Raw genomic sequence first — 14,053 nt, 5'->3', positions numbered from 1 at the left:
CACCTCCTTGCATTCAGTGGATTGTTCAAAATAGGCACAAATGTGCTCCTAGAAGGCGTTAGGGTTCTGCTTGCTACAGATCAGGCTGCTCTCATGTTTATGGATTCTACTTATCCATGGGTGTAGTAGAGGATGTGTGTCCTGATGTTGAGACAGCTTTGTTACAAGGACTGTCATTCTGCCTTCTCCATAGAACCTAGTGTACTATCATAGCATCACATGAAAACCTAAGAAGTGACTACAAGAGCACAATCAGTGCATTTTTGAAACATACAATACATTGTTAACTGTAGCCGGAGTTGATAAATATCCTAAATATGCTGACTTCATCAATACCTGTTCTATGCAAGAAAATGTGTTCTCTGTAAATATGTGCCAGTGTTATGTATCAATATAAATAATGCATTTTTCACTGCAATAAAATATATCAATTATTGAGCTTTATCTTTTTCTGAGATAGGGTCTTGCTCTGTCACCCAGGCTGGAGCGCTGTGTTTGACCACAGCTCACTGCAGCCTCAAACTCCTGGGCTCAAGTAATCCTCTTGAGTAGCTTGGGCTAAAGGTGTGGGCCACCATGCCTGGCTTTTTTTTTTTTTTTTTTAATACAGCCAAAGTCTCACTATGTTGCCCTTGCTGGTCTTGAACTCCTGGGCACAAATGATCCTCCCACCTAAGCCTCCCAAAGCACTGGGATTCCAGGTGTGCGTCACGGTGATAGGTCCCTGATAAAACTTTACAGTTATTGGTTAAAAAAAAAAATCCTTCTCCACCATGATATGGTGTATGTGGTTGGCTTTCCTCCTCAATGTGTCTTCTTCAGAAGACTTTCAGGATCCAGTAACTCCTGGCCAAGAATCAAGCAGAACCCATTCTCCAGGAGATTAGGATGAGAACTGGTCATAAAGTCAGGTACAGTTCCACAAGCAGACGTGGGAGAAGAGCCAAGTTTCACCTGTGAGGTCTTGCATGTGAAATGGCTCACATATTCATGGCAGCCACCCACAGGGTCTTTAGCATCTTACCATATCAAACTGAAAAAATCAGCACAATCTAGATCATTGGACAGGTTTTATTGATAAAATAATGACATTTTTATTTGTATTTATACTTATCTAGTAGGTTTGTTCAGTAATAAATATGTGAGCTCTGTGGCTTGGGAAAAAAAGTTTTAATTAGGACTTTGTTCTAACTCTGCCTATTGGCCTTGATCAAATTACTCTATGTTCATTTAACACCACTTCCCACTGTTATATGGGGAGAAGATGGGTCATCTCTTACCATATACATGTGAGTAAAGCTAATGTGAATTTTTGGAAACTCATTTAAATTAAATTCTGAAAGGGTTAATCTCATTAAATGATTCTGAAATTCTGGCAAGCATATTTAAAATGTAAAGCATCTCAACTTCTTTTCAGTTCCGTACCAATGTTTTCCTTTTTTTTTTAACCCTGTAACTTCTGATACGTATACAAGCTACCCTTTACCATACATGTACAAACAGGTACACACAGGTATCAGAGACTTTTGAAAATTATAGTATAAATAAGCAGCATTGAGATAGTTTTATTTTAATGTGATTGTGTTTCAAGGAATATGTATCCGAAGGTAAGAACCACAGGTTGGAGTTGAGTCAATGTTCATCTTAGTTGTTGAGTAGTTAGAGTCTTGAATTAAATATATACAGAGTGCCTCTGCCATTTCCTGATTATTTTTGTTAATGTTTTGGTAAATTCAGTGGGCATTTAAGTATGATTGTCTTAACGCTGTATTTCTATCAAAGCTTTCAAAACCTACAGGGATATGACTATAGTTTGAGAGGCTGGGGTTGGTAAACAACTCACTGTGAGTTTCTTGTATTTCTGTGCATCTTGCAGGCAGAGGCACTACCAGCCTTTAGTCTAGATTCTCTAGTCAAGGATGTGTGTTTGGCAAACAGTCTTGGCAAATAGAGATGGTTGCTGTCTACCTCTACAGCAAAGGGCAGACATGCTTGCTGTTCAGTGTAATGAAGTTAGCATCTCTCTATGGGGCTAAGGTCATGCATATTTATTGCCAATTATAGAAGATTTCTGTTTTCTAAACTCAGGGTTCTTTTCCTAAAATCCAATGAACTGTATGTGGTTATTCCCTGGCTCTCTGTTGCCCGGTGGGAACCAGAGCTTGAGAAGCCGGCACAAGAAATGCTGATGCTCTGATTCTGCTCTTACCATGAGCAGTAAGCTGTCCTTTTTCTCTGACCCAGGAGTCTGTGTCATTAGCTAGAGCATCGATGAAACTGTCAGGCTAACTTATGCACTTGCAAGTAGGGTAAAATCTCATATTCTCGACTGTTCTTGACAGATACGTGTGTGGTCCAGTAGGAATGACGATTTCCTAGTTGTTACAGTACCATTTTTTATGGAAATTACAGATCAGAAATATTTTCTTTGGACTGATACAGTAAGCCTATGGTATGGACCAGAGATTACGAAATTGCCATCTGTAGGCTGAACCTGGCCTGCTCCCTACAAAAACTTTGTTTTTGTAAAGAAAGTTTTATTTGAACAGAGCCACGTACATCATTGATATGCTGGCTATGTCTACTTTCATGTTATCACAGCAGAGTGGAGTAGGTGCCACAGAAATCCTGTGGCCCTCACAGCCAGAAATATTTACTACCTGGCTCTTTAGAGAGAATGCTTGTCAATGTTTATTAGAGATCAGAGGCAGCAATCAAAAATTCAAGCCATCATGAGCTGCTCTAGGAATATATGAGGTAGAAATGAAAGTAAAATAACAGTTGCATGATAGGATAAGAGTTTAACAAAATTAGCAAGAAAAAAACAAACAATCTCATTGAAAAGTGGGCTAAGGTCATAAACAGTTATCAAAAGAAGATATACAAATGGCCAAGAAACATACAAAAAAAAATGCCCAACATCACTAATGATCAGGGAAACGCCAATTAAAACTGCAAGGTAATGCCACCTTCCTCCTTCCAAGAATGGCCATAATCAAAAAATCAAAAAATAATAGAAGTTGGCATAGATGCAATGAACAGGGAACACTTCTACACTGCTGGTGGGAATATGATAGAGTACTACTCAGCCATAAAAAGGAATGAATTAATGGCATTCACAGCAACCTGGATGAGATTAGAGACTATTATTCTAAGTGAAGTAACTCAGTAATGGAAAACCAAGTATCACATGCTCTCAGTCATAAATAGGAGCTAAGCTATCAGGATGCAAAGGCATAAGAATGACACAATGGACTTTGGGGACTCAAGGAAAAGAGTGGGAAGAGGGGTGAGAGATAGATAAAAGAATACAAAATGGGTGCAGTGTACACTGCTCGGGTGATGGGTGCACCAAAACCTCACAAATAACCACTAAAGAACTTACTCATGTAACCAAACACCACCTGTTCCCCAATAACCTGAGGAAATAAAAAATTTTTAAAAAATGGGTTGCAGTTTAACAGCAAAGTACAGATAAATATATTGACTGTATATACTATATTTCTACAGTGTATTCAACAAATATTTGTTGAACTACAGTTGCATATTCAGATCTTGCAAGACTCAGCTCATCTCTCTCAAAGAAGCTGACTCTAATTCTATATTAGACAATTTATTTTTTCTCCTCAGAGCTTCCGTAGCACCTTATCTGAACATCTTTTATAACCAATTTTCTACTTTACATTACAGTGTTTATGTACATTGATTTATCCTGCTAGACTTAAGGTAAAATTTATAACTGTAAATGTATTCACAAACTTATTTCCATGATCCAACTTTCAGGATAAGGATCAACTTTTAGAAAATTGAGAAATTAATTTGAGCCACTTTCTTTAACAGTAGGAATCATTAAAATTGGATTTTTATACTATAAGATTAAAATAGCAAATTATGCCCTTACAGTAAAACATTCAATATGCTCTAATACATTGTCTTTGTAGAATATTTCTCTTTCTAATTACATTTCTTAAAGTCTAATTGCATTTCCTTAGCTGATTTCAATTTAATAAAGGAGGAATGTAACAGAATGGAATTATACCTATTGGCAAGGGAAAAGATATCTACAAATCGATTCTTCTTGAGAGGATGGGGATGGAGAAGATACAAAAAAAGATATCACTAACTCTTGGGCTGGGTGCAGTGGCTCATGCCTATAATCCCAGCACTTTGGGAGGTCAAGGCAGGTGTATCACAAAGTCAGGAGATCGACACCATCCTTGCCAACATGGTGAAACCCCGTCTCTATTAAAAATACAAACATTAGCTGGGTGTGGTGGCATGTGCTGAAATCTCAGCTACTTGGGAGGCTGAGGCAGGAGAATCACTTGAACCCGGGTGGCAGAGGTTGCAGTGAGCCAAGATCGTGCCACTGTACTCCAGCCTGGCAACAGAGTAAGACTCCCATCTCAAAAAAAAAAAAAAAAAAAAAAAGAATAAGGAGGGGCAAACTTGCTCTCAGTCTTTTAAGATGTGTTAATTTTTCAGGCAAACCTCATTATTGCATGATGCCCTCAAATTAATCTCACTCTAAAGTAATCATGACATATCCCAGCTGCTGGTCCAGAGCTCTGGGGGTTCAAATAAAGGCTGGAACCTCTTCACAGAGGCCAGCACCTTGGAGGAGGACAAAAGGCATGGTGGGAGGAGAGTTCTCAGTAACTGACATACACTCTGGTTTTATCTTTTCATTTTACATCATTTAGTTTCACTCTGTCCTTAAAACTAACAAAAGTTAAACTTTCACAGCCAACAGGTTAGAAAGGTGCAAAAGTTTCCATTAACAAAGAATGATACAAAGTAAGGTAGAAATTCAAGAATATTAAACACGTCAGCCTCTCATATGGGACAGAAATTAGAGAGTTTAAGGGCAAGTGAACTTGTCAGGTCTCATGTGTTTGTACAAACACAGAGCTAAGAACAATTAGATGCTAGAAGAGATAATACTGAATTACTGTTGATATCCTAAGGCCAAAACTTGGCTTACCACTCTGGCAGTCAAAGGCTAGTATCACCTTCATGTCTAATAACTACAAAAGCGGAAGGAACACATTTTTCATGTGCGGTTTCCATATCCTATAGAGACAAGGTTTGTTCTTGAATTTTTGGTTAATTCTTACCAGCCTCCAAATTCTAACAGAGTAAAACTATTTTTAAGGGAAGAACAAATGGGACGTGCATATTTTACGAGGCTTCTAGCATGTTAGGATTAAGCAATGTGGTGTTGAGAAAGAAGTGATCGTATTTATGTGTGACAACTCTACTAACCTGTCAGTTACTTCAAGTTCAAAACTATTGACTTTTGCACACATCCCCCCAAAAATTTACCTGTAAACATTACTAATATATCATAGGAGCTGATGAAATGCATATGTATTGAGTCAGTAGCATTGATTGATATGGCTATAGAAATAAATGTTCATAAACCTATGGGTAAAATAAAACTTATTCTAATTTTTTCTTTCTACTTTCATCTATAAAGGCCAGACAGATTCAACTGTGTTTTTATTGCTTGCATGTAGTGTGCGTGCACCAGTAGAAAGTCAGTACCAGGCCAGTAAATGGGTATCAGCTCAGATTGTATAATTGTCATTGGGCTGATGTTCAGTTCCATTTGAAAACTAACTGTAGAGCCACCAATTTTGTAAGGAAGTTAGCAATTTTCTTTGTTAATCAAACTATCCATATCCCAAACCAAAATATTACCTTCCTCCTGAAACTGGTACCTATTTCAGCAACATCCTCCCCGTTTCCAAGACTTTAAATCTGTGAGTTGTCTTTGACACCTGCCTCTCTTTAGTGTTCCTACCTATTCCATTCTGACTCCTGTGACTTTCACCTTTATTCAGGTTTTTGAATACATTACAGGTTGATTAATCCCAGTTCAAAACTGTCATGTGAAATTCTCCGAAATCTGAACCCTTTCTGAGTACTGACATGACACTCAAAATGTTCATTGGAACATTTTGTATTGTGGTTATCAGATTCTGGGTTTGGGATGTTCAATGGGTGAGAAAGCATAATGCTAATATTCCAAGAATCCTAAAACTTCTGGTCTTAAGCATTTTGGATAAGAAATTCTCAACCTATACCTCAATTTCATTTCCTCTACCACCATTTCAGATTTAGACCATCACTGATTCTGCTTTGAGTTGTTGTAATGAATTCCAGTTGGCTTTTAGTCTAGACTCTTCCCTCTCCAATCTAATGAACAGTTAGTTCTTCCAGGCAGATCTTTTATATATGCTCCTTGTACAAAATGATTTAATGACTCCCTACTGCCTAGTAAATAAACTCCATTCTTCACATATTTTAACGAAAGGCTTTCTAAAACTTAGCCTTAGCTTTATCTAGTAATGATCTCAGTGGTTATAATCAAGACCCCTCACTTCCCAGAGTCTCTTTTTCTCACTTTCAAAATGCAGAGGTTAAAATTATTTCCTTTTTTTGTTTACTATTTGATGATTTTGTACTTTAATTGTTTTTAGGGTAAAATGTGTATTACATATTAAACAACTTGCATTTCTTGTTACTCCCAAAATATGATCTACAGCAGAGGGTTTCTCAACATTTTGGGGATTTAGAGTATTTTTGAATGTTTGGTGAAAGCTGGGGACTTTCCCAGAAAAATTGCATGCAGAATTTCATGGGGGTAGTTGTGTGGACTGTGAGGACCTGTGGAATTACTCGACACTTTCCTGAATTAGGCCTCTTTTCACCCCATTCTATGTATCTACATTTTCCCAATATACCCCAGGTAACTGTTGAAACCTAACTCAAATGCAATATCCTGAGTCCTATTTAGTTTCATTTATTAGATATGAATGACTCATCCTCTAAACCCTATAGCATTATTTTGTGTGCCTATCTCAATACCTATGGCATTCTGACTAATATGTCATTCTTCATGTGTTTCCCTCTAATTCCATCTGTGTTGCAAGAGGCTTGCAAGCAGGGCCAGTGTCTCCCCTCTTTGCTTACCCTATACTCTTTACACCACCCCGTCACCCTGAGGTCACCCTTGAACGTTAAAGATATTCCATGAGCATCTATCTATTAAATCAATAAATGAAGGACCAGAGGAACACTTTTAAAAACTAACTTTACGTTTACTTACGTATTTAAATTTAATTATATATTCATTTGTATTTAGAAAAATGACACAATGCCACTGTTATTACCTCCAACTTGTTAAAATATCCTTATAATAAAGAACTGGAAATAAAAAGTGAAGATGGGCTATCTGGAAGTGGTTCCGCTATAGAATTTCATGGAACATTTCTGAGAAAGGCTAGATTTTTGTCCAGATTCTATGGCAAAATAGCGTTACTGCCTACGATAATAAGGTCAACTTTCACAACCAGTCTGTGTGTTACATGTTGTACATTACATTCACAATTCAAAATGTTTAACTTTAGAAAACTTTCTTTGTAACCTCGGGGAAAATAAAACAACTTGTATCCTTGTGTCCTCTGTTCTTCAAAGTGGTACCTTAAAGATCGGAAAGAGTTCATACAGCATTTTGCAAAAGCACCATTTGCTTTCCAAGGTGGTGTTCTTGGTTTGTATTGAGGACTAGGTAAATAACCCTTTTTGCCATAGAATCTGGACAAAAATCTAGCCTTTCTCAGAAATGTTCCATGAAATTCTATAGTTGATCCACTTCCAGACAGGCCATCTTCACTTTTTATTTCCAGTTCTTTATTATTAGGATATTTTAACAAGTTGGTGGTAATAATAGTGGCATTGTGTCATTTCTCTAAATACAAATGAATATATAATTAAATTTAAATATGTAAGTAAATGTAAAGCTTGTTTTTAACCCTTTCATGCTATGCATTTCTTCCAAGGAAAATAGCTGCAACCCATTTCCTACTATTATGTTACACTCTTATCCCCATTAGTCAATGATTTATGTTTTTAAATTAAATTACAATAATTACTCTGATTTCCTGCTGGTCTTGAGATCAACATGTTCCTGGGCAATTGGATACATCCCAGCTTACAGAGACTCTATCCTGAGCTCTTCTATATTAGCTTGTTCACGTTTGTGACTATATACATCGAATGTCTCCTACTAAGGAGGAATCTTAGCCAAAATCCCCAATCCTACATGGCTTTTATCAGAAAATTGCACTTGTTCCATGGTTTATGTAGTGATCTCAGATCCATTCACTCCTTCAATAGATTCTTTAGACATATCTATTAGAGATTTCTGAAAAATCTATTTTGTACAAAATTAATATGGTAGAATAACCTAAACTTTTTTTTCCTCTTTAATTGGGAATGGGTGGGAATAGAAGTGATATGCTTTGGATCTGTGTTCCCCACCCAAAGCTGTTAAATCATAATCCCCAGTGTTGGAGGCGGGGCCTGGTAGAGGTGATGAGTGCATGCTAGTGGTCTTTCATGAATGGGTTAGTACCATCCCCTTGGTGCTGTTTTTCATGATAGCGAGTTCTCACAAGATCTGGTTGTTTAAAAATGTGTAACACTGGCTGGGCACAGTAGCTGGGAGGCCAAGGTGGGCAGATCACCCAAGGTCAGGAGTTCAAGACCAGCCTGGCCAACGTGGTGAAACCCCATCTCTACTACAAGTACAAAAATGAGCCGGGCATGGTGGCATCTACCTGTAGTCCCAGCTACTCAGGAGGCTGTGGCAGGAGAATCGCTTGAACCCGGGAGGCGGAGGTTGCAGTGAGCTGGGATTGCCCCACTGCCCTCCAGCCTGGGCAACAGAGCGAGACTCCGTTTAAAAAAAAAAAATATATGTAGCACCTCCTGTCTTGCTCTCTTGCTCCTATTCCTGCCATGTAAGAAGCTCACTTCCCTTTGCCTTCTGCCATTATTGGAAGCTCCCCCAAGGCCTCCCCAGCAGATACCACTATGCTTTCTTTACAGCCTACAGAGCGGTGACTCAATTAAGCCTTTTTTTAAAAAAAAATAAATTACCTATTCTCCAGTATTTCTTTACAGCAATATGAGAATGGACTGACACAGGAGGTAAGCCATATGTGGCATAAAAATAACCTCATCTGAGCTCATGCTTACAATCCTCATTGAAGGATGAGGAAGAAGACATGGATAGTTATATGGTGGTTCTTTCAAGGTAAGACGGGCCCAGAAAAGAATCAGTATTCCTTAAAACAATACTGTTGTGGTTTTTGTTTTCCAGAAGCTAGAGTCATCCTAACAAGAGTGATAGTCTTTCCCCAAGTGAGACCAGGCTGTGCTGTCTGGGGAAAAGCATTGCTGGCCTTGTCGAGATGCACCGACGACTCAGCTCAGCTAAGGACTTAACCAGTACAGGACTTGCTGCAGCGGAGCCTGAGCTGGATATGGAAAGCAAAAGGTGAGTCCTGAATTCTGAAACACAGGCCTGAGGGGTGGAGGGAGGCAGATTTGAAGGAGAGGAGGAACATTTATAAACACTCTTCTTTGGATCCAGAAAGGGAACACTTTTCACAGAATGCCTAACTCTACATGGTCCCCTTCTGATGTTGGGAATAAATAAGCTAAACACAAGTTTAGTTAGCTAAGAAATATAACTCTCTATATACCCATTAAGATTATATAAATTATATATTTCTTACCCTGTATTATACTTTAAAAATACTGTCAAGTATATCTAATTTATTTGTTGAGACGGTCTCACTCTGTTGCCCAGGCTGGAGTGCAGTGGTGTAATCCTAGCTCACTGCAGTCATGAACTCCTGGGCTCAAGTGATCCTCCTGCCTTAGTCTCCTGAGTCACTGGGTCTCCAGTCACGCACTACCCTACCAAACTATTTTATTTTTTTAACTTTTTGTAGAGCTGGGGACTTGCTGTCTTGCCCAGGCTGCTCTCAAACTCCTGGGCTACTTGACTGTTGCATAGAAAACTATGTCCTTCTATTGAATGTTTTGTGTTTGGTGAGCAAGACTGGAGCAGCGGGATGTTTTTGGGTAAAGGAGGGTGGCATTTCCTTTCTTGGTCATCTTGCATGGTTCTCACAGAAAAGAAAATCCACTGCCCCTACTCCTAGAGAATAAAAAATTACAAGTGGAGACACTGCAGATGCTGGCAGTGGTCAACAAGCCTTCATCCCCCCAGTTGAGGACTGTGAGACCAAGTTACCCGGCATAAAAGAGGGCTTCTCAAGTCTATGTTACACTGGCAGCTTTGAGGAATGATGTAAGGAGGCTTTTCAGACAGGAGGAACTATCCTTAGTGAAACTGTCTACAAAGAGCCCATTACTTCTTTTACACAACTCACGACTTCCTACAATAGGTATCAGCGCCCCTAAGCAACCTTTCTTAAGCAGAATTTAGTTATGAGGTTCATGAAAGGAATGAATATTCAGACTTTCTAATGAGGCTCTGCATGAGAGATGTGATTTCTGGAAGGAAAATCTGAATTCAGTCAAGATGACAGTGGGGTTTTTGCCAGTGTAGGTGTTATGGCTGCTGGCAGTTCTGGAAGGCCAGAACTGGGATGCTGGGGGACGATGTGTGTGGGCCACGAAGCCTTCATTCTGCTTTCCTGATGTGTAATGACCCCTAATTCAAACCCGTAGGGATTAGGGGCTGGAGCATGCTGAATCAGACGTGAGATTTGTTTCTATCGTTTTCTCATGATCAGAAGCAATCTCTCCTCCTTGTGAAGTGTTCACATCCTCCCACTTCCTCTCCCTGCTGAAGTCAAGCACAGATCTGCAGTGGAGCCATAAAAACAGTTGGGTAACTTCATCTAGGCAGCCCAGAGTTTGTTCAAAAGGATTGACAGGGTCTGGCAATTATGACTCAAGTCAACTGTGGAGTGACTGAGAATGACAGACATCTTTCCCCATCCTCTTTCAGGAATTAGTGGGCTTCCTATGACATGTGTAAAGCTTAGAAGTTGTGAGATGTGGGAAGGGCATTGGAGCAGTTCAAGATGTTCAGAACCTCTAGTTTCCTGAAATAACTGGGAGCAGCCTGCTGGCCTGGCTGACATCTATGATGTTTTCATGTGGCTGAATGGTTACCTGGGTTTAGAGAGAGAGAGTCCCTGAAGGAATCATCATTATGGTTTGATAGGCATCAAAATGTGCACGAAGTGGTACAGCAACTCCTAGAAGAAAACACTGGGGCCAAGCTCCATGACATTGGTCTGGGCAATTATTTTTTTAAAAAGTGACCCCAAAAGCATAGTCAATAAAAGCAAAAATAGACAAATGGGGTTACATCAAACTAAAAGTTTCTACATAGCAAAAGAAACAATCAACAGAGTGAAGAGACAACCTGCAGAATGGGAGAAAATATTTGGAAACCACACATTTGATAATGGGTTAACATCTAAAATAAAGAACTCAACAGTAAGAAAACAGCCCAATTAAAATGGGCAAAGGATCTGAGTAGGTATTTCTCAAAAGAATATGTACAAATGGCCAACAGGCATATGAAAAAATGTTTAACACCACTAATCTTTGGGGAAACGCAAATTAAAGTCACAATAAGATATTACCTCACCCCAGTTAGAAAGACTATTATCAAGAAGACAAGAGATATTGAGTGTTGGCAAGAATGCAGAGAACAGAACTCTTCCACACTGTCGGTGTAAATGTCCATTAATGCAGCCATTATGGAAAACAGTATGGGGGTTTCCCAAGATATTAAGAATGAAACTATCTGCAATCCCACCATCCAAAGGAACCAAAATCCATAGGTCCATAGGTCAAAGGGGTGTCTGCACTCACATGTAATGGTAGCACTATTTACAATAGCCAAGATAGGGAATCAACCTGTGTCCATTGACAGATGGAGAAAGTGTGCTATATACACACGATGGTATACTACTTACACTACTTCCTTAAAAAAAAAAAAAAAAAAGAGGAGGTCGAGGCGGGCGGATCACGAGGTCAGGAGATCGAGACCATCCTGGCTAACACGGTGAAACCCCGTCTTTACTAAAAATACAAAAAATTAGCCAGGCATGGCGGCAGGTGCCTGTAGTCCCAGCTACTCGGGAGGCTGAGGCAGGAGAATGGCATGAACCCAGGAGGCGGAGCTTGCAGTGAGCCGAGATCGCGCCACTGCACTCCAGCCTGGGTGATGGAGCAAGACTCTGTCCCCCTGCCCCCCCAAAAAAAGAAATAGAAGGAATTTTTTTTTTTGAGACAGGGTCTTACTCTGTCACCCAGACTAGAGTGCAGTGGTGTGATCAGGGTCTTACTCTGTCACCCAGACTAGAATGCAGTGGTGTGATCAAAGCTCACTGCAACCTTGACCTCCCAGGCACAAGTGATCCTCCTGCCTCAGCCTCCTGAGTAGCTGGGACTACAGGCACACACCACCATGCCCAGCTAATGGTTTTGTTTTTTATTTTTTACAGAAGCAAGATCTCCCTATGTTGCCAAGGTTGGTCTGGAACTCCTGAGCTCAAGTGATCCTCCTGCCTCAGCCTCCTAAAGTGTTAGAATTATTGATGTGAGCCACTGCATGTGGTCAATTCTGTCATTCTTGACAACAAGGATGAAGCTGGGAGATACTGTGCTGAGTAGAATAAACCAAGCACAAAAAGACAAGTGCCTCATGAGCTCACTTATATGTAGAATCTGTAACAGTCGAACTCATCAGAGAGCAGAATAATGGTTACCAGGGACTAGCAGTAGGCTGGAGGGAGAGGTGGGGAGGTGTCGGTGAAATAATATAAAATTTCAGTTAGAAAAAATAAGATTTAAGAGATCTATTGCACAACATGGTGACTATAGTTATTAACACTGTATTATATTCTTGAAAATCACTAAGATTTTAATATTCTCACCACAAAAAATAAGCATGTGAGGTAATGCATATGTTAATGGCTCAATTTAGCCATTTCCAATGATTAAATATTTGAAAGCAGTTATATACCATAAATGTGTACCTTTTTAATTAAAAAAATTATTTTCTAGCAGGATGCTCTGAAATTGGAACTGAATATTACTTAAACCTTGAAGTCTGGGAACAGGGACATAGTGCTTTTCCAAAACTGCCAGAAAGGTGTCTCTTAATGCTCTATGGATAGAAGTGGCCACCTGTCTTACAGGCTGACGCTGGAGCCCAGCAAAAGTTATTTTGGTAGACCCTTATTGTTTAGCAATGCAAAAAGAGAACCTACTTACTTTCTTTGTATTAACTCTGGATACTGATAAACTAAATAAAAATACCTTGGCCAGGGATATTAATTATTTTGTTTATTCATATAAAAGCCTGTTCCATGCTTGATTTTTCACGTGCTTTAAGGGACACATTACGCAACAGAAGAGAGGCCTGCTGTTCCCTCCCTGAAACTTTCGAATCAACCACTTCCTCCATTTACTGTAGCTCTGTGGAGACTGAAAGGAACATAAAAGCCCGTGCAACACAATGCTGATTCTATCGAATATTCTGCCTCATCCAACCCTCCCTAGCCCAGAGTAATTGTTCTCTCTTTTGAGTCACTAAGCTCTCATTTGGCACTTTGCATTTGAATCTTTTTATTTCATGCACTGCCTCAGCAACAGGATTGTCATTCACTTCGACTCCACTCAGCTTAAAATATTTATTTTGTGCCTACCACAGTCCAGGGACTGTGAGGCACTGGTGATAAATAGAAGACAACTTGGTCCCTGGCTTCTAGTAAATTAATTCATATACAGGTGAAGAGACTGGCACACAATCCAAGCACAGCAGACTATGTGTAACAAGAAAGAATGACCAAGGTAACAGGTAGCAAGGCAAGAAGATACAGGGTTCAGGGCATCCCTTAACGGGGTGTCACCTGTGCTAGGCTCAGGGCTGAGTTGAAGTTCCTTAGGCAGGGGCAGTGGAAAAGAAAGGAAGGGAAATTATATTTCAAGTGGAAGGAAAGCAAGTAAAAAGAAAGGACTGGAATATGCACTATGTGATCCATGTAGGGAAATGGAAGTAGTTTAGCACCAATAAAGCATAAAAGATAAAATAGTGAAGATCAGCAGGAAGTAATGCTTAGACTCAGATGACAGACTTTAGTTTATTTTATTACAGGATCTGGATTTTATCCTAGGGCTGATGGGAAGTTATGCGATGGTTTGG

At 39.5% G+C, this 14,053-nt stretch overlaps 1 long non-coding RNA gene across 1 annotated transcript in view; it reads left to right on the top strand.

Moving 5' to 3' along the window:
• CELF2-DT (CELF2 divergent transript) overlaps positions 1–12,409 on the top strand; it is a 42,812-nt gene extending 30,403 nt beyond the window's left edge. The window contains exons 3-4 of the long non-coding RNA NR_120637.1: positions 9,173–9,349; positions 12,351–12,409. This is a non-coding gene — a long non-coding RNA (CELF2 divergent transript). The remainder of the gene's footprint in view (positions 1–9,172; positions 9,350–12,350) is intronic.
• Positions 12,410–14,053: the final 1,644 nt, after the last annotated feature.

This window comes from Homo sapiens, chromosome 10 (assembly GCF_000001405.40).
Source record: "Homo sapiens chromosome 10, GRCh38.p14 Primary Assembly".
NCBI classification, from domain to species: Eukaryota; Metazoa; Chordata; class Mammalia; order Primates; family Hominidae; genus Homo; species Homo sapiens.
The sequence above is the reverse complement of the archived record's forward strand: the minus strand, read 5'-3'. Positions and strand labels throughout refer to the sequence as shown.